The sequence below is a fragment of the Homo sapiens genome, chromosome 7 (assembly GCF_000001405.40).
Source record: "Homo sapiens chromosome 7, GRCh38.p14 Primary Assembly".
NCBI lineage: Eukaryota > Metazoa > Chordata > Mammalia > Primates > Hominidae > Homo > Homo sapiens.
Genome location: NC_000007.14, coordinates 128,950,797 through 128,971,845, shown reverse-complemented (window position 1 = coordinate 128,971,845; position 21,049 = coordinate 128,950,797). Strand labels below are relative to the sequence as shown.

The window sequence follows — 21,049 nt, the reverse complement described above, 5'->3', positions numbered from 1 at the left end:
CCAAAAAGAGTTGGAATAACTTTATGGAAGGGGAGGGATTTAAATGAAGCCATGAATTAGAGGTAGAATTTTGATGGATTAGAGAGGCAGATAGTCATACTGCCTCTAAGCCAAGATCAGAGCAAGTCAGAATAGTACTAAGTTTGTTAGTAGACAACTAAGCAGTGGGAGTAGTAAAGTGCTTCACAGGAATTTCGAAGGTAGGTTTGATTAGATGTGGAGTAGAATTGTAGACAGGGGAGAGCAGTGAAGAAGTAAGTATTCTGCATTCTATTTAGGCTATTCATTTAAGAAGTTTGGCAGTAAAAGAGAGAAGAAAATAACTAGAAGGGAAAGGCAATTTAAAAAATATTTTTCTCAAGGTATTAGAAATACATGTGTATTTAAAGACCACAAGAAGGGCCAGGCGCAGTGGCTCACGCCTGTAATCCCAGCACTTTGGGAGGCCAAGGCGTGCAGATCACTTGAGGTCAGGAGTTCAAGACCAGCCTGGCCAACATGGTGAAACCCTGTCTCTACTAAAAATACAAAAATTAGCCAAGTGTGGTAGTGTATGCCTGTAATCCCAGTTTCTAGGGAGGCTGAGGCAGGAGAATTGCTTGAACCCAGGGGATGGAGGTTTCAGTTAGCTAAGATCAGGCCACTGCACTCCAGCCTGGGTGACAGAGCAAGACGCTGTCTCAGAAAAAAAAAAATTAAAGACCGCAAGAAGAAAAAAAGGGTTTTTTTTTTTTCGATAGAAAAAATTAGATCTCTGATAGACGTCTTCAATTCTAATTTCAGTTGGTTTTGTTTTGTTTTGTTTTGTTGTGACTTGGGGTTCCGGCTGTGTTACCCAGACAGACTGTAGTGGCCATTCACAGGCGAGATCCCACTACAGATCAGAATGGAATTTTGACCCACTCTGTTTCTGACTTGGGCTGTTCACCCCTCCCTCCTTAGGCAACCCAGGAGTGGTTCCTCACTCCTGGGAGGTCACCACATTGATGCTGAACTTAGTACAGGCACCCAATTGGTATAGCATGCTCTAGCCCAGAACACTGGGTTCAAGCTGTTCCCCTACCTGCGCCTTTGGAGTGGCTGGGACTATGGTGTGTGCTGCCATGCCAGGCTGACTTAGTTTTTAAAAAAGGAAATAGGAACACAAGTTATTTTTCACATTAAAAAAAAATTAATACCATCACATAGAAGATGAAGAGAAAAAAATTTTAAAAATTGCTAACTTTAATTCTTAACCATGTTTTCTGCCTTCAAATCATGAAAAATCTAAGCATTAATCTCTGTTGAAACCCATGTTCATTCCTTGGATACTAATAAACTCCTTCATTTTCTTTCTAAAGACAAAAAACTTCTGGACTTTGTGAATCCAGCTGTCATTTTACACACACCTGCATACACACACACACAGCCACGCGTGCACACACACACACACTTTCCTATTAAAGAGAAATTACTAAAGGGGAAAGAGTGCTTGGTCTTTGGGAAGTTGAGACTAGAATTTATCTGATGTTCCTGCTTTCCTACATACAGCATGAAGAAGACTTTGAATTACGGAAAGAACTGATTGGACAGGTGATGAACCAGCTTGGACAGCAGCTTGTCAGCCAGCTGCTGCACACCTGCTGCTTTTGCCTCCCCCCCTATACCCTACCAGATGTGGCTGAAGTGCTCTGGGAGATCATGCAGGTTGACAGACCGGTAAGATTGTTTTCATGAGGAATTTATCTCATAGTCCCTAAATGTAATAGGCTTTGGTTCCTTAAGGCCAACCCTAATTTTGAAACTAGCCCTGTTTTCTGTCCATGGAACCAAATTTAGGCATATTGCCAAATTAGATTGGTAGATGAAGAGGCCCGTAAAGATCAGTAATTTATTATTGAGTTCTTTAAAGCATGTTTCTATGTCACTGTCATAGGGGGTATATTACCAGAAGTAAGTATCAAGCATTGAATTCAGTTGTGTGGCTGTCCAATGTGAAATTTGTTCACTTGTGAGAGATGCCCAAATGTCAGTTATATTAGTTACGTATTACTCAAGAAGTATTTAATCCTTTCAGACTTATTCTATAGCACTGTATTATTTCTTGGTGATACATCTAGCCAGAACATTTGGAAGCACATAATTGTCAAAGTAACCCACAATGTACAGTTGGATATATTTCCCCTTTGGATTTCTTTGAACCAGATCCTTTATCACCCACCTAAGGATGGAGTTGTTTTTTTAAAGCTATCTAATAATGCCCAAGTAATTTCAGTACTGGGCCACATGACCATAACTCAGGTTATGTGTACTGTGTGAAAGTTGAGTAGAATGGTAAAGTATAATATAACCTGAAATCATTTTTAAAATGGAATTTATAATTTTTAATATTACTGTAAAAGCAGTTCAGGAAAGTACTCATTGGGACCTAGTTAAAGTGAGCTGTCTTACAGAACCACAGAATATAAAATTGATAATAATAATATATAACAGATAGTACCTATTCCTCTCTGGTTCAATACACATGTTCCATTTCAACCTGATAGAGTAGCATATTTGTTTTTCTAAAGAAAAGTACTTTTTGAGCCTCCAGGAATCAGCAAATTTAATTCAAAAGTCCTTGACCTGAGGGAAAAAGTCTTCATACTCTGCTTAAACTTTTTTACAAATACATTTGGTTCCCAAGTAACAGAAAACTTATGTAAATCTAACTTTATGAAAACATTCTTGATTGTAAGCATATTGTTAAGTGCGAACAACAACAACAAAAAATGAGAACAAGAAGTTTGGACAGGAATAGAAACCAGGTAGCCATGTACTCTAAGGAGTGTACTGTATATCAGCCAGACACAATGGCTCATGCCTGTCTTCCCAATACTTTGGGAGACCAAGGCAGGAGGATCACTTGACGCCAGGAGCTTGAGACTACCAGCCTGGGCAACATAGACCCCATCCCTACAAAAAAAAAAAAAATTTTTTTTCTTTTTAATTAGCTGGGTGTGGTGGCATACATCTATAGTCCCAGCTACTCAGGAGGGTGAGGTAGGAGGATTGCTTAAGCCCAGGAGTTCCAGCCTGCAGTGAGCTATGATCATGCCACTGCACTCCAGTCTGAGCTGCATAGCAAGACCCTGTCTCAAAAAAGAAAAAGTTTGCTATATAACAACTATTATGTATTTTTAAGAATTAAGGAGCTGTTATGTATCCATAATTAAGAAATGCTTAGTACTTCATGAGCATTTATAATACTTTTGCTCTGGCCTATTATGGCCATAAATGAATATGATGGGAAAATATATAATGTAAAAAAAATTAGGTATAAAAGAGTAATTTTACAGCCCAAAACTATGACTGAAGTATACATTCCACTTAAGAAAGGGATGAAGAAATATTAGTGCTGACCCAAAGGACAACAATTAAACTGAAAATAAGAACCCAGAGGAAGTCTGTAGAATTTTTATTTTAGAAAGGAAGGAAGTAAAGGGAGTAGACAATTTTTGTGCATAGAAAAGGCATAAAGAGAATTCTTAGATATACTTATATAAAAAATATATAAGTAAATTAAACAGCAACAAGAGCAAGGTTTTTTAACACAAAGAACAGGCAGATATCACAAAGGAACTGAATGGATAGGACTTATTCTGAGAGAGATGGCCTTAAAATCCTTAAGATTCTGGACTCATATGTCTCATATGTATACTTTCTGACATGGTGGCTTAGTATACTTTTTGCCCCTGCTCTTTCAGGTATCTGAACCTTTACTCTGGATCACTTTTGATCTTTAAGCTCAAGAGTTTTTGGAAATCTGTTTAATTTTAAAAATATACTGGTCAAGTGCTTACACCTGTAGTTCCAGCACTTTGGGAGGATCTCTTGAGCCCAGGAGTTTGAGACCAGTCTGGGCAACATAGAAAGACTCCTCATCTCTTAAAAAAAAAAATTGTTTTTAATTAGCCAGGCATGTTGATGGACTTCTGTAGTCTGAGCTACCTGGGAAGCTGAGGTGGGAGGATCACTTGAGGCTGGAAGGTCAAAGCTGCAGTGCACTGCACGCCAGCCTGGGCAACAGAGTGAGACCCTATCTCAAAAAAGAGAGAGCGAGTGTGTGTGTGTGTGTGTGTGTGTGTTCATGTTCGCATGTGTGCATATGTATATATGTCATATACGTTATGACAGGAACAAAACAATAGCCTCATCCCGAAGAAACTTCACTTCTAAGGTGTAGAAAGTCGTTTTCTGAAATGATGCCCGCTGCCCCTTTGAAGGGAAGTCTAGGCATGCATATGCAGACTGCATCAACCCAGAGGGTTTGAAGGGCTAATGAGAGCACTTTTGTTGATTCCTTTACTTGCTCCCAAGTGTAGGGAAGTAAATGCTACTAAGGAAAATTTGTGGGGTTTTGTTAGTATCTGTAGGGTCTCAGGTGAGTAAGCTATGCTTCCTTTTAAAACTCTTACCCCTCTTTCCTATACAGACTTTTTGTCGATGGTTAGAAAATTCCTTAAAAGGTTTGCCAAAGGAAACAACCGTGGGAGCCGTCACAGTGACACACAAACAACTTACAGACTTCCACAAGCAAGTCACTAGGTGAGTGATACTGGGGGTTCTTAAGGAGGTGTGGGATGTGGGAAGAAACATATCTTTATTTCTTATGTGCCCTTGGGAAATGGACAATTTATAGTTTGTTTAACCTTGAATTGCACAAATTGGCATTGGAAGCCAATCTGGTGGGAAAACATTCACCATGCTGTGTATGTATGTACATATATTTAACATATGTGATAACTGGTATAAGATTTTTTAACGGTAAGTGGAGGCACTGTTTCTCCCAAAGGAAAATGCACTGAGCAGCTCACTCCCCGTCAGGAGATCTGTCTATATTTTTCTAAGTCCTTCTGAGTTTTCATCCACATTCGGGGGTCAGGAATGTAGGTACCTGAGTAAGGCAAAGCATTGGTTATAAAACATCAGAAAGTGATGTAGATGACAGTGAATTGGAGAATGTTCACCATGCCTAAAGATAGTCAAATTCTAATTTCAAAGAAGTTGTGTAGTCCAAACAGAACATCTGCCTGGGATACATTAGGCCCATGAGGAACTTACAATCTCTGGATTACAGCCTAAAATGTAAAGTGTGTGTGTTTTTTTTACTGTGAACATATAAATATTTTTAATACAGTTACATAGTCTTCCTAATTATTGTTTTATAGCCATAAAGGTGTTACTTGATTTCCTTATAATGCCTCTATTAGTAGACATTTAGATCATTTTTCAGTTTTTTAGTATTACAGATAATGTCAAAAATAGAGCCTTTTCCTTCTACTGAATATTTTCCTTTAAAATGTAATCACCGAATCAAAGGTTATGAGACTTATGGTCTTAATGGTAATGACAGCAACTTAAGTTGGATTTTATAGCTAAGTGTTCCTTTGCCCTGATAGTCTTTTTGTATCTAGAGTCTTTAGAGTTTTGTCTAAATTTTAGACAATGACTTATAATCATACAGTGTGGAAAGATATATGGGTCAAAGAAGGAATGTTATAGCAAGGTTAGTAGTAGTGAAAAAACTGGAAATATTCTAATTGCCCATCAATAGAGAAAAGTTAAATAATTAACAGAAGCTTATACTAGTAAATAGTCCCAAAGATGAACAAGGAAGAAGAAATATGTGATAATACGGAAAAATATACAAGATAAATTGTAAAGGTTAAAATAACAGTATTACATAACCTAACTTGAGCTTTTAAAATAATTTGAAAATTTTTTAACTGTTATAAAAATACACATAACATGAAATTTACAGTATTAACCATTTTTATAAATGCATAGTTCAGTAGGGTTAAGTATATATTCATGTTGTTGCACAACCAATCTCAAGAACTTTTTCATCTTGTAAAACTAAAACTATACCCATTAAGCAACAATTCTCCATTCTCCCCTCTCCCCATCTCCTGGCAATTAACTTCGTACTTAATGTTTGAGTCTGACTACTCTAGATACCTCATATAAGTGAGATCATACAGATTTGTCTTTTTGTGATTAGCTTACCTCACTTAGTATAATGTCCTTAGGATTCATCTATGTTGTAGCGTGTGCCAGAATTTTCTTCCATTTAAAGGCTAAATAATAGTCCATTGTATGCATATACCACATTTTATTTATCCTTTCATCTGTTGATGGCCATTTGGGCTGCTGTTGTGAGTAAGGCTGCTATAAACACAGGTGTACAAATATCTCTTTCAGCCCCTGCTTTCAATTCTTTTGGATACCCAGAGGTAGAATTGCTGGATCATATGGTGATTCTATTTAATCTTCTTTAATTTTTTTAAGAACCATCATACTGTTTTCCATAGCAGCTGCACCATTTTACATTCCCACTAGCAGTGCACAAAGTTCCAATTTCTCCACATCCTCACCAACACTTGTTATTTTCTGGGTTTTTGAGAGTAGCCATCTTAGCATTTCACACCAAGTGTGAAGTGATATCTCATTGCCGTTTTCATTTGCATTTCCCTAATGATTAGTGATGTTGAGCATCTTTTCATATGCTTATTGGCCATTTGTTTTGTCTTCTTGGAGAAATGTCTATTCAAGTGCTTTGCCTATTTAAAAATTGGGTTTCTTTTGTTGTATAGTTGCAGGAGTTCCTTTTATATTTGGGATATTAATTCCTTATCAGGTACATGATTTGCAAACATTTTCCTCCATTCTTTAGGTTGCCTTTTCATTCTGTTGATTGTGTCCCTTGATGCACAGAAGTTTTTAATTTTGTTGTCGCCTAGTTTATCTGTTTTGCTTTTGTTGTCTGTTTGGTGTCATATCTAGGAAATCATTGCCAGATTTCATGTCATGAAGTTTTCCGCCTAGGTTTTCTTGTAAGAGTTTTACAGTTTTAGGTCTTATATCAGGTCTTTGATCCTTTTTGAGTTAATTTTTGTATGTGGTATTAGGTAAGGGTCCAGCCTCTTTCTTTTGCTTGTGGATATCCAGTTTTCCCAGCACCATTTGTTGAAAAGACTGTCCTTTCTGCACTGAATGGTCTTGACATCCTTGTTGAAAATCATTTGACCATATACAGGAGAATTTATTAATGGGCTCCCTGTTCTATTCCATTGGTCTATGATGTATTTCTTTATGTCAATACCATGCTGTTTTGATTACTGTGGCTTTGTAATAAATTTTAGAATCAGGAATATGAGGCCTGCAATGTTCACTTTAAAGATTGTTTTGGTGGCCAGGCGCGGTGGCTCACGCCTGTAATCCCAGCACTTTGGGAGGCCGAGGCAGGCAGATCACGAGGTCAGGAGATTGAGACCATCCTGGCTAAAACAGTGAAACCCCATCTCTACTAAAGACACAAAAAATTAGCCGGGCGTGGTGGTGGGCACCTGTAGTCCCAGCTACTCTGGAGGCTGAGGCAGGAGAATGGCGTGAACCCGGGAGGTGGAGCTTGCAGTGAGCCGAGATTGCACCACTGCACTCCAGCCTGGGCGACAGAGCGAGGCTCCGTCTCAAAAAAAAAAAAAAAAAAAAGATTGTTTTGGCCACTTGGGGACCCTTGAAATTCCATATGAATTTTAGGGTAGATTTTTCTGTACAAGAGGTTGTTGGGATTTTGATGGGGATTGTATTGAATCTATAGATTGCTTTGAGTAGTATTGAAATCTTAACAATATTAAATCTCCAAATCGACAAATACAGTATATTGTTCCATTTATTGGTGTCTTTAATTTCTTTCAGCTACATTTTGTAGTTTTCAGTGTATAAGTTTTTCACCTCCTTGGTTAAATTTTTTCATAAGTTTTTTTTATGCTATTGTAAACGAACCAACTTGTACTTTAAAGAGCTGTTTTATTATAAATTATACACATACACAGAGGCTACTTTCTGCACAGTAAGTTTTCAGAAAGATATATAAGTGAGACTAGGAGGGGAAGGGAGGCTTTTCTTTTCGTTTCATAACTTTCTGCACTATGTGCACTTTTTTATGAGCATAAATTACACTTTTATGGGTAAAATCAGATATAGAAGGGAAAGAAAATGAACTTTAAGCAGTGGTACAAGAGCTAGTTGTCTTTTCTCAGAATTGATTTCTTAATGTCACTTTCCAAAATAGTTTACTTTCTCATCTTCTGGAATGTCTCCAGCAATTTTGTTAATGTTAAAATCCCAAACCATGGAATGCTATTATTTTATAGTTCACTAAGTGGCTTAAGTAGTAAGCCCAGTATGCCCCAGAAATAACTCACTTTTAGCCATAGATCAAGTGACATGCATGACTGAAAAATAGCATGTGACCCTTCATGACACATTTTGCCAGAAGTGGGGATTTCCCCTCCACTGGGTAGGCATATATTGACTGGGGTGACCTTAAAAATTCTTTGATTGCTTTTACTATGAATCTTCTCAGTAGAAGTAGTATTCTGTCTACAAGCTGTTTCAGGGGAAAGAAGTGTAGTAGTTGCTTCTCTCTGCTTCTGTTTTGCATTATTCCATTCAGTGCTGGTTACAGTATAAGGGCAGGATCGTATTGGCTCTAATTTTCCTAAAGCAAATGGGAACCTAGGGGAAACCCTCCAAAGATGGGGTTTGGAGTCAAGTATGTTGGTTTGAATCTTGCCACATACCCTATTACTTTGAACTTCAGTTTATTTATCAAGTGAAATAGGGTTAGTACTACCAGTCTCATAAGGTTATTATGAGATACCAAATGGAAATCTAAAGAAGATCTTGCACATAGTATGTGATCAGTGAATGTTAACTCCTTTCTCCTTGGAGGAGAAACTTCTAGAATGTCATTATGTACTTGCAAAACTAGCTGGGGCATGTCTCCTGTTGACTCTAAGGCAGCCACCCACACATTCTGGAATCCCACACATTGTAGAATAAGTCTTTGTCAAGCCCTCTTTCCCTCAGTGGGACTAATATATGACAGATAAAATAATATGGTAAGTCTGAAATCAAGGTCATAGATATCCTTTCCTAATTTAGGATAAATCTTGGGGCAAGGAAAAGAGACCTAAGTAAAGCAGTGCTGTGGGGGAAAAAAAAAACCTGTTATCTTTGTCCTGTGATATGGGAAAATAAGGTGCACCACCAACCTGACCTACTTGATCTTCCATTGCTAAACAAGTTTTGCAGCTCTTCCTATAGCAGGCTGTAACATATGTAACATAGTGGTGGGAAATGAACAGAAGTAAGAGCTAATGTAGAGGTGCTAGAGAAAGGACTTGAGATTGCTCATCCCCTCTTAGTAATTCTCTTCCTCTAGAATGCCTGTAGTAGACAAGACAGAAAGCCCTTGAACTTTCTGTCCCATGCATGACTCAGTCTCCCTTTTGATTTTAAGGTCCGTAACACCTGCCTCAACATGCTACTTTGTTTGCCATTCTGGCAGAGAGGGTGAACTGGTTTAGTTTCATTTCAGCAAGTCCAAGCCTGCTTTTCACATGGTACTGGTAATTAATTCCCTAGCTTTTTTTTTTTTTTTTTTTTGAGACGGAGTCTCGCTCTGTCGCCCAGGCCGGACTGCGGACTGCAGTGGCGCAATCTCGGCTCACTGCAAGCTCCACTTCCCGGGTTCACGCCATTCTCCTGCCTCAGCCTCCCGAGTAGCTGGGACTACAGGCACCCGCCACCGCGCCCGGCTAATTTTTTGTATTTTTAGTAGAGACGGGGTTTCACCTTGTTAGCCAGGATGGTCTCGATCTCCTGACCTCATGATCCATCCGCCTCGGCCTCCCAAAGTGCTGGGATTACAGGTGTGAGCCACCGCGCCTGGCCAATTCCCTAGCTTTTTTAGTTGGTCAACTTGAAGAAAGCTGGGACGTTTCAGTCTAAAATAACATTCTTGCTTTCCAAATGCCAGATGAACCTATCATTAACTAAGACCAATTGGGACTAGAAGAAACCCTGCCATCATTTCCATTTCTCCATCTTGGTGTTTATTCTATGACTACTTGTCACTTGCCTGGGGCTCTTCAAAGCCAAAAGGTGTTGAACATGGGAAGCATTGATACTGGAATTAGAGGCCAGTAAGGGGTTGAATCCCTAGTCAAGTCATCAGAGTTTCATTATTTTCTGTTACCTACCAGGTCATCGGATCAAAAGGATCTCATTTCTCAGCACTCCTCTAGTAATCTTATGGGGCTCGAGAAATAGTGACCATAAAAGCTTTCAGAAATATGGTGGAAGGATAGGAATTTGGGGACTAGAAGCCAGAAAACAGAATCTAAAAAATACTGGCAGTTAAAAAAGTAAATAAATAGAAAGCTAAGAAATATCAAACGTCAGAAGGACCGAGACAGAAAATACAGTCATGTGTTACTTAATGATGGGGATATGTTCCAAGAAATGTGTCATTAGGTGGTTTAGTTGTTGTGCAAACGTCATGGAGTATACTTCTACAAACCTAGATGGTATAGCCTACCGGACACCTGGTCTATATAGTGTAGCCTATTGCTCCTAGGCTACAAACCTGTATAGCAGGTTACTGTACTGAATACTGTAGGCAATTGTAACACAATGGTAAGAATTTGTATATCCAAACATATCTAAACATAGAAAAGGTACAGTAAAAATACAGTATAAAAGAGAAAAAAAAAGGTATACCTGTATGAGGGCACTTACCATGAATGGAACTTGCAGAACTGGAAGTTGTTCTAGGTGAGTCAGTGAGTGAGTGGTGAGTGAATAGGCGGCCTAGGACATTACCGTATACTACTGTAGACTTTTTATAGATACTGTATACTTAGGCTACACTAAATTTATAAAAAAATTTTTTTCATCAATAATAAATTAACCCTTGGCCAGGCGCGGTGGCTCATGCCTGTAATCCCAGCACTTTGGGAGGCCGAGGCAGGCAGATCACTTGAGGTCAGGAGTTTGAGACCAGCCTGGCCAACATGGTGAAACCCCATCTCTACTAAAAATTTAAAAAATTAGCCAGGCGTGGTGGTGGGCACTTGTAATCCCAGCTACTCAGGAGGCTGAGGCTGGAGAATCGCTTGAACCTGGGAGACAGAGGTTGCAGTGGGCCGAGATTGTGCCACCGCACTCCAGCCTGGGCGACAGAGTGAGACTCTGTCTCAAAATAATAATAATAATAATAATAATAAATTAACTCTTGCTTACTGTAACTTTTTTACTTTATAAACTAAATTTTTTTTAACTCTTGGACTCCTTTGTAATAACACCTAGCTTAAAACACAAATTGTACAGCTCATTAAAAAATTTTTTCTTTATATCTTTATAAGCTTTTTTCTATTCTTAAAATTACTTTATTTTTTTTTTTTAGCTTTTAAACTTTTTTGTTAAAAGCTAAGACACAAACACATATTAGCCTAGACCTACACAGGGTCAAGATCATCAATATCACTGTCTTCCACCTTTTTACATCTTGTCCCACTTAGAAGGTCTTCAAGGGCAGTAACACACATGGAGTTGCCATCTCCTAGGATAACAATGTCTTCTTCTGGAATCCCTCCCGAAGGACCTGCCTGAGGCTGTTTTACAGTAAATTTTTTTTTTTTGTAAGTAGAAGGAATATACTCTAAATTAATGATAAAAAGTGTAGTATAGTAAATACATAACCCAGTAATATAGTTGCTTATGATCAATTATTGTATACTGTAGATAATTGTTTGTGTTGTCCTTTTATATGACTGGCAGTGCAGTAGGTTTGTTTATACCAGCATCACCACAAGCATGTGAGTAACGCAACATGCAGTTGTTCATCTCTATTATACTCATAGGATCACTGTCATACATGCAGTCCATCATTGACCAAAACATCATTGTAGCACATAACTATAGTTCTAACATTCATGGAGCTTTTTCGTTTTTTTGAGACGGAGTCTTGCTCTGTCGCCCAGGCTGAAGTGCGGTGGTGTGATCTCAGCTCACTGCAACCTCCACCCCCTGGGTTCAAGCGATCCTCCAGCCTCAGCCTCCCGAGTAGCTGGGATCACAGGTGCCCACCACCACACACGGCTAATTTTTGTCTTTTTAGTGGAGATGGATTTCACCATGTTGGCCAGGCTGGTCTCAAACTCCTGACCTCAGGTGATCTACCCGCCTTGGCCTCCCAAAGTGCTGCGATTACAGGTGTGAGCCACCGCGCCCGGCCTCAAGGAGCTTTTTGATCCATTTCTATGGGCTCCCCACCAAGGACACTTCAGTTAAACATTTGGCTGAAGTGTTTGACACCAAAGCACTTGCAGATAGGATTGGGGCAGAAGCCAAGTTGACAGTGTCACCTGTCCCTCATTTCACCCTATCGCACTAAAGTTCTCCCACACTTGCATTTCAGTTTCAATACTTTTTCTCATGTGCCACAAAGGAGGCTGTGAAGTTATCATTTCCAAAGTCTCTGCTGGGCACAGTGACTCACGCCTGTAATCACAGCACTTTGGAGGCTGAGGCAGGACGATAGCTTGAGCCCAGAGGTTCGAGCAGCCTGGGCAACACAATGAGACCCTGTTTCTATCTGTTCTGAAAACAAAACAAAACAGAAGTCTCTTGAGGAAGGGTAAAATTTAAAACATGTAAGACATTAGGATAGCAAAAAAATCTCGGTCTCCAGCACTGTCCTAACTTTCAGGGTTTTCTGTTATCCTAGTCCCTTGTGATAACACACCACATAGCAACTTCTCTTGGGTTACAGATCTTCCTCCTTCCTGACATTGGGAGCATGAGTGATATGGGCTCACATACCCTGGCTGCCTCCTTAACAGTCAGTATTAATTTGGAAGTAAAATGAGAAATGTAACACTTAAATTGAAGCTTATTAAATCCACAGAGGTAATGGCAATTCCAATAAAGCCAAAAGACCTTTCTCATTTTCTTTCTTTTTTCTTTTTTTTGAGACAGGGTCTCACTCTGTTGCCCAGCCTGGAGTGCAGTGGCACAATCATGGCTCACTGCAACCTCAACCTCCCCAGCTCAGGTTATCCTCCTGCCTTAGCCTCGTGAGTAGCTGGGACCACAGGTGTGCACCACCACACCCAGCTAAGTTTTAAATTATTTGTAGAGACGGGGTCTCCCTGTGTTGGGATTACAAGCATGAGCCACTGTGCCTGGCCACCTGCCTTATTTTCATTACATTTTTAGGATGGAGAGACTAGAAGAAAGTTTCTAGAATGTTCTGTTGAATCAAGTCATGGAGTCTAAGTCAAGGTTCTTAATGATGTTTCAGAACTTACAATGGATGGGGAAATCTGGATGTAGGAACCTAAATGGATAGCTCTATTTTCACCTTTTCTGTTGGATCGCTTAGAGCAGTTTCCTCCCCTGGTGTTTAACCATTATGAGATGGAAAGTGTGTTTTCATCTGCATTGAATCCTTGGCTGTAGGCACTGGTATCTGAGTTAGTTGAGCCAGGGAGAGGGCTACAGGAAGGCAAGCATATTAAGAATTGCTTCCTGGCTGGGCGCGGTGGCTCATGCCTGTAATCCCAGCACTTTGTGAGGCCGAGGCGGGCGGATCACAAGGTCAGGAGTTCGAGACCAGCCTGGCCAACATGGTGAAACCACATCTCTACTAAAAATACAAAAAAATAGTCGGGCGTGGTGGTGGGCACCTGTGATCCCAGCTACTGGGGAGGCTGAGGCAGGAGAATCGCTTGAACCTGGGAGGCGGAAGTTGCAGTGAGCTGAGATCGTGCCATTGCACTCCAGCCTGGATGACATGAGCAAGACTCCATATCAAAAAAAAAAAAAAAAAAAAAAAGGAAGTGCTTCCTTCTCCACTGCTTTAGCTTTTAGCTTAGCCTTATGTTCATTTAGCAAAAACTGTTATGAAGACAGATACAGTAGAATGAAGCTGGCATCAGCTGGTTTCTTGGTGACAGTTTTGGACAAAGGGAGGTCGGGGGGCTTTTGAAAAAACAGGGTCAGTTGAATATTGGGCTATTCATATCACATAGGCATCTCCTGCTTTGTCTCTCTTTCTACATGCTTTAACCCTTTCCTCTCTCCCTCCTCCTCCCACAGGAGGAAATCCTGAGCAGCCTGTTCAACTAGAAAATCAATGACTGGTGGAGACTTAGTTGCTAGACCGGCCTTTGTAAACAAAATCTATCTTTGGAAGAGAATGAGGAAACTTATGAGAGCCGTAGCAACCAAGTGTTGTTGTAGCAGCCTACATTTATTGAATACTATTTTGTTCACTGCTCTATTTTCATAAGCACTCTGTATGTGGACGATTTTAATCCTCTAAACAGTGTTATGAAGTAGATAATATTAATAGATGAGGAAACTGAGACAAAGATTGGTAACTTGTTCAAGGGCACAGTGGAGCCAAGATTCAAACTCGGGCAGTTTGTGTCCAGAGTACACCCTTTGAAGACCACCAAGCTTATAACTTTTCTCATATATAATAATTTTTGCCCTGAATTACAGAAAGATCTGAAGCCAGGATCGCTCAGGAGACGATGGAGAGAGCTCCTAGCAGAGTTGGGACGGTTCTCAGTGTGCCCCAATGTTGCAGTTGTTTTTCAGCATATTCTGTCTTTCTCCTCAGTCAAGGACCAACCTACCTTTTCTTTTCTAGTGCTGAGGAATGTAAACAAGTTTGCTGGGCCTTGCGAGACTTCACCAGGTTGTTTCGATAGCTCACACTCCTGCACTGTGCCTGTCACCCAGGTGAGGATACATAGTTCCCAGCTTTTGTCCGGACTGTCGGACTGTTGGGGATGCCTGGGAATGGGGATAGGTTTTAATGCCTATCATGGGACCAGTCTTATAGCTAGAGTCAGGGAAGGACTCAGCAGTTTAACTGTGGTGAACAGCTGGAATATACAGGGCCCGGATTTTCTTGGGCCTGGGCAGCCAGTAATTGTCAGTGTCTTTGGGGTACCATTTTCACCTCCATAAGAAAGTAACTGTTACACAGTGCATTGAAACATTTTCTTCCCCCTTCCCCTTACAGACACTTCTAAGATGGTAAGTGTACATGGCAACAAACAAATAAGTATTTTTAACCTGGCCACTTTGGCGAAAACAACCTCAAGTTGACTGTTATATGTGGTGCCAGTCTCCTAAAACTGACCCTCCAGATGTAATGAGCAAAGAGCTTATTCTTATCACTTTTATGACCTGAATGCTGAAGTGCCAGGTTTTGACCAGGGCAGGAGGTATGAATTGAATATCCCTTATCCGAAATGCTTGGGATTTCGGAGGAAAAAACACTTTCAGAAGTGTTTTTCAATTTTGGATTTTTTGGGATTTTGGAATATTTGCAGAATGCACACCAGTTGAGCATTCCTAATCCAAAAATCCAAAATCCAAAATGCTCCAATGCTCATTCGCTTGAGGGTCATATCAGCGTTCAAAAAGTTTCAGCTGTTAGGGATGCTTGGCCCTTACAGGAGAGGAGGAGCATCTTTGGCTCCCGATGAGCACTTTTCTCCACGTGCTTTCCGTCTCCTGGTTCTGAAGCAAAGCAAGAAGCTTAGCTGAAAGGAGTGGGTAGTAGAATTTGGGTGCCAGTTTCTTGATGGAGAGAAGAAAGGTAGCTCTCCTCTAAGCCCACCCTTTGATGTCTCAAGGTGAGTTTCTTCTCCCAGGAGGCAATTCTTGATGAATCTGTAGCACTCACTGGTAGTTTCTGTGTTAAATGCATTCATAGGTAAAAGTGATGTTCAGCAGTGCCTTGCCACACCCAAAATCATTTCTCAACTTTGATTGTTTTAATGAGTAATAATATCATTTGGGATGTCCTGGTTTTGCATGGTGTCTGGGTTAGCTGACATTGATACACCTCATAAGGTTGCTCATGGACAGCTGTAGGTGTTCATGGTTAACTTTTATTGTGCCCTTACTGTGTGTCAGGGCACTGTTTTAAGTGTTTTAGATGTATTAACTAAGATAATCCTCATCTGCTTTTCTGGATTTGTTACTATTTTTCCCATTTTACAAATGAGGAAATTGAGGTTCAACAATGTTTAACAATTTGCCTGACAGTTATTCGTGGAGCCAGAATTCACATGTAGATATTCTGGTACCAGAGTCCTCACTTTGAACCACTCCGCTTAATACAGTATCCTTTCGATAGCATCTAAATTGGTGTTTTGTTTTGTTTTGTTTTCAACTGTTATTAGTAGGCAAAGCCTTCTTTCAAAATAAAATCGACATGAAGCCTGTGGGATTTAGCAGACTGAGGCAAAGCTTCCCTGGTTGCTTTGGAATGGGAGGCCTGGACCTGCTGGCTCTTTGCCCTCCTGACACATCATCCCTTGTTTCCACAGCACACTCAGCATTGGAAGCACACTGCAGACGGTGTCTCATTAAAGCAGTAGCTCCCTTGAACCCACAAGTTAAAACGCCAGACTTTTATTTATTTGTTTATTTTTTCTGAGTTCTTATTGGCAGACTTCAGAATGAGGTACCTGAGGAAATATAGAAACCTCTGCCTTAAGGTTGATTTTACTAAATGCTCTATTTTCTGGTGCAGTTATTGACTGTCTTATCTCTTTTGTCAGGAATGTCTTTTTTAATTAGAAGACAGGAAGAAAACAAAAACCAGACTGTGTCCCACAATCAGAAACCTCCGTTGTGGCAGAGGGGCCTTCACCGCCACCAGGGTGTCCCGCCAGACAGGGAGAGACTCCAGCCTTCTGAGGCCATCCTGAGGAGTTCCTGTTTGGGGGTGTGAGGGAAAATCAGCGCGGATTTTAAAAAGATGGCTGTGGCCTGCCCGGCGTGGTGGGAGGGGAGCTGGTTTCCTGGTGAACTTTCTAAAAGGAAAAATAATTTTAAGTAAAGAAAAAAGAAAAAAAAGGAAGACTAAACAGAAACCAGAACTGAAACATTCACCTGGTAGCAAATGACACATGCACGCACACACACATACACGCACAAGCGCCAGTGCGCACGTGTACACAGAAAAACAAAAGGACAAGCTTTCTGTGAAACAAAATATTTACTTAGGGATAATGTGGGGATTCACATGAATTAAATAGCTGCAATTGGAAGAAGAGGGTCAGGGTCATTTGTTCAGGTTTTCTATTGTTTTGTCCTCTCTTTCCTCTCCTACCCTTCCTTCTCTTTCTCTCTCCCCTCCTTTTAAATGCAAATGAGTAGAAATTTCTTCTACCTTCCCCAGCTGTTTCTTCCCACCTTTAGAGTTGTTTAGACAAGGAGGAGTAAGCAAGGAACTTGTTCTGCTTTCTATCGTGGTCACATTGGTGATGCTCGGGACCTGCCAGGGTCAGAATTTATGGATATCTGAACCCTGACCCCGTTCATTCTCTCAGTCCACTTCCAATCCACATCAGTTTGTTGTCTGCCTTGGAGAGAAGAGCCAAAACTGGGGTGGGCGGGTGGGTGGGGAGTGCAGGATATAAATGTGTAAGTTTTTGTTTTTTAAGGTTTTTTTCTTAGTGAATTATTCACCCACAGACATGAGAGAAAAAAAGAGGGAGGGTGTGTGGAGAAAAAATGTTTACAGGGCTAACAAGGGATGATGTGTCATTTAGTATGTTACTAAAAAGTGTGGAAATGACTTGATTTTAAGGGGAGGGTGAGGCCGAAGAGGGAAGCCCAAAGCAGATCTTAATGTTTCAAAGGAGTGCAGCCCTTCACAGCCATCAGATATGAGGGCACTGTTCTGTCTGGTGTTGTAGCCATCTCAAGAACAAATCAACAGCAACAAAAGAGAAAGAATAAATTTTTAAAATTTAACCAGTGTTTCTTTGTTTTTACTTTCATTCACTGCCTTGTAGCTCGGAAATGGTTCAGCTAGACTAGCTATGGAAGCAGCCTTTGGTACCTGATAGACATCTGGGGATGGAGTTGAAAGGGCAGGCCCCTGCCCTGATGCCACAGACCCTTCAGACTTCAGGGAAGTGGTTCATTCTGCACTTTTTATTCTCCTAATTCACACCAAAGCTCATCACGCTTACATTTTACCCTTTTGTGTAGCCTCAGTGGGAAAGGGAGTTGGGTTACTCTTTCAGTTAAACAGTGTGGTATGGTTTTTCTACTATGGCCACCCAAGTAGACAGTTTCCTGACCTGCAGATTTATTGGTCTTTAAAAAAAAAAACTTTATTGAAGTATCATTAACATAATTTGCATGTGTTTAAGGTATACACTTTGATAAGCTTTGACATAAGATACATCCATGAAACCGTTATCACAATCAGGGTAGTGAACATACTCTTTATTTCCAAAAGTTTCCTTGAACCCCTAGGTAATACCTGTTTCCTCCCTCTTCCCATCCATCCCCATTTCCACATAACCACTGGTTTGTTTTCTATCACTGTAGATTAGTTTGCATTTTCCTGAGTTTTTAATAAATGGAATCATAACAGTCTGTTATGGCAATTGGGCTTTGAGCTAATACCTGCAGAGCTGTATTCTAATGTGATAGATCTGGCAGTGTTGTTGATATACTGACACTTCTCTGCCTTTTCTTTGCCTGTCACTTTAACTTTTTCACTCCTGGGCATAAATCCTCAAGCTACAGAACAATAGGAATTGGTGAAACAAATCTTCCAGCATAACATCAGTGGTACACAGGGTTTTAATCTCTAAAGAGGCAATATTAGAAGGAGAGAAAAAAACTTGAGTGTTTATAGAGTGATATCAGATTCCAGGGATCAGCACATTACCCCAGCCATCCCTCTCATGTTCTGGCTAAATAATAAAACCTTTAAGTTTTGTCCAACCATAGGTCCTTGAAATAACCAGTTGATTTTGCTCTGTTTAAGGAATTTGGCTGTTTTCACAGGCAATTGTGTGGGGAACTGAAAAAAATGTGTGGAAGACTTAATGCAGCCCTCCTTAGCCACTGAAAAACAGCATGTGGAATGCATATCTAAAGCTATAGCTTTGCAAACAGCCCTGTGTTGTTAATGGTGTCAGAACCTCACTGCTTACTTAAGCCTTACAGATTATTTGAAAGGGCTGCTCTGAAACTTTCGGCAGAGCAAGGATGCCCATCTAGATTTTAATTTAAAAAGGAACTGTTCAGGATCAGCTCACCTAATGGAGATGCTGTGTTTCTGCATGGCATTGTCTAGTAGAAATAGGATGAGTATCTCCCGTCCATGTGGGCAGGTCAGCTAACTGCACCTGAACTTGCCTAAGTCATCTCCCCACAGAATTGTCTGTTCCGTGATAGGATTAGCCATGAAATGTTGGCCATGATTATGTGGAACACAGATCATCAGCATTGGGGCTATTTCCAGCAAGACTGTACTAAAACACAGTAACTTGTAATCCTTATGTATCTGAAGGGAATTGTTATAAAGAACAGTAACTGAGAATGCACACCTAAGACATAAAGGAAACTGTGCTTTTGAATGGCATCAACATTCATGAGTTTATTTAAATGTCTACCTTGTGTGGCCCTGATTTAAGTGAATCATAAGATGAAAGCCAAAACCAAGAGACCTTAAAGGTTCAAGATTTTGCAACAAGATGTGCCTGATTCTTTGGGATAGATTACCAGCAAATGAGAACATTGCCTTCCAAGAATGCTCTTTCAGCAAAAATGGGAAAAGCCATTGATATCTTCTACTCTACAGAGACTGAAAAGGGTACGTTTTTTCTTTTTTTCCTTTTGTTTTGTTTTGTTTTGTTTTGTTTTTTTGTTTTTTTTTTTTTGAGAGGGAGCCTTGCTCTGTTGCCCAGGCTGGAGTGCAATGGTGGGATTTCAGCTCACTGCAACCTCTGTCTGATGGGGTCCAGCGATTCTCCTGCCTCAGCCTCCTGAGCAGCTAGGATTACAGGCACCCACCACCATGACCAGCTAATATTTGTATTTTTAGTAGAGATGGGGTTTCACCATGTTGGCCAGGCTGGTCTCGAACTCCTGACCTCGTGATCTGCCCACCTCGGCCTCCCAAAGTGCTGGGACTACAGGCGTGAGCCACTGCACCCGGCCAGGGTAGGTTCTTTATGTCAAAGAGCTGAGAGTCTTAAAAAGGGTATATTTAGTTGGTTATAAGGATGAACTTGGTGGGGACAAGGAGCTTGAAAGAAGGGAGAGAAACTGCTGGGGCTAAAGGGATGCATTCATCCCCAGGATGTGGGCATCAAGGTCCTGTGGGTTCCAACTTAAGCTCCAGCACAGGCCACCAGAGCAGCCAAAAGCTATTACCAAGGGGAGCCCTAGCCTGGCTTGGGAGCAGTGAATTGTACCTCACACTGGCCTGCCTTTACCTCTGGAGTTTGTTACATCTGTCACTTCTGGATACTGTTCATCCACAGCTGGCTACTACAACACAGAGATCTGTAAGTGACAGCCAGGTTTTCATTGCTGTTTTCATTTTAGTTTTAGGAAACCAATTAATACAAATTCAGGGAAGATTTTTGGCAGTTACTCAACTGCTAGCAGTACTGGGGAAGTCAGCCCACTCGTGGTCGCGAGGGGCACCTGGCCCTTCCAAGCTTCCCCAATTCATCTACACTCAGTCTCCCTGCTCCACCATTCATCAAGGGTTGCAAACTCAAATGCCCTTAGGGACACGGAGAGCAGTGAAAGGAAGCAGGCCAGGAGAGGACCGTATTGAACTGGGAGAACATTCCCCATCCAGAGTTCCAGCTGATTTTTGCCTTTGAGGAATGTATGACAGTGTTTTCATATTTGCCAGTTTTTTGGAAGAAGCTGGAAACCAGATATGTGACATCTCCCTTCTCCTAATCTCAAAACATTGACAATTGCAAGAGGGAGTAGAACTGCACAGGCCTGTGAAGAAAAAGGTGCACACCTTTGTAAATGATTGAAAACTAAGACAAAAGGAGCACTACGTAATCACTGTACTCTAGTTGGTGAAGTTTAAGAGGATGCAGGTGAATAATACTAAAACCACGGTACCTGTGTACATATAGATCAGGGAGGATGAAGAGTAACTATGATAGAGGAACCTATCACTACCTCAGTCAGAAACAGTGATAAATCAGGTTAATAGTATGCACCCTTGATATGATGTAGTGGGAATGATGCTTCACCTCTGTGGTCTTCCATACAAAAACCATGAGAAACAGGCGGGGCACAGTGGTTCACACCTGTAATCTCAGCTGTTTGGGAGGCCACGGTGGGAAGATCACTTGAGGCCAGGAGT

The 21,049-nt window shown here is 40.7% G+C and overlaps 1 protein-coding gene and 1 pseudogene across 30 annotated transcripts in view, besides 2 other annotated features; one reads left to right on the top strand and one right to left on the bottom strand.

Moving 5' to 3' along the window:
- The window catches only part of TNPO3 (transportin 3), a 102,009-nt gene extending 84,348 nt beyond the window's left edge, over nucleotides 1-17,661 (top strand). For 27 of the 30 annotated variants that reach the window (NR_167917.1, NR_167913.1, NR_167925.1 and 24 more), the window contains 4 exons: nucleotides 1,531-1,698; nucleotides 4,454-4,566; nucleotides 14,531-14,622; nucleotides 16,461-17,661. Coding sequence is in view for 12 of the 30 variants with exons in the window: in XM_047420091.1 (XP_047276047.1) it covers nucleotides 1,531-1,698; nucleotides 4,454-4,566; nucleotides 14,531-14,591 (342 nt within the window). In the remaining 18 variants the exon portion in view is untranslated. Of the gene's footprint in view, nucleotides 1-1,530; nucleotides 1,699-4,453; nucleotides 4,567-14,379; nucleotides 14,623-16,460 lie in introns of all 30 variants that reach the window. The other 3 variants (NM_001382223.1, NM_001382218.1, NR_167924.1) reach the window with 2 other exon arrangements.
- RN7SL306P (RNA, 7SL, cytoplasmic 306, pseudogene) lies at nucleotides 817-1,112 on the bottom strand (annotated as a pseudogene).
- Nucleotides 8,283-8,582: an enhancer, noted in NCBI's record as "active region_26615". NCBI's record gives its function as "activates an Ori minimal core promoter by ATAC-STARR-seq in GM12878 lymphoblastoid cells {active_cell/tissue: GM12878}" and the evidence as "EXISTENCE:reporter gene assay evidence [ECO:0000049][PMID:35858748]".
- Nucleotides 8,703-8,812: an enhancer, noted in NCBI's record as "active region_26614". NCBI's record gives its function as "activates an Ori minimal core promoter by ATAC-STARR-seq in GM12878 lymphoblastoid cells {active_cell/tissue: GM12878}" and the evidence as "EXISTENCE:reporter gene assay evidence [ECO:0000049][PMID:35858748]".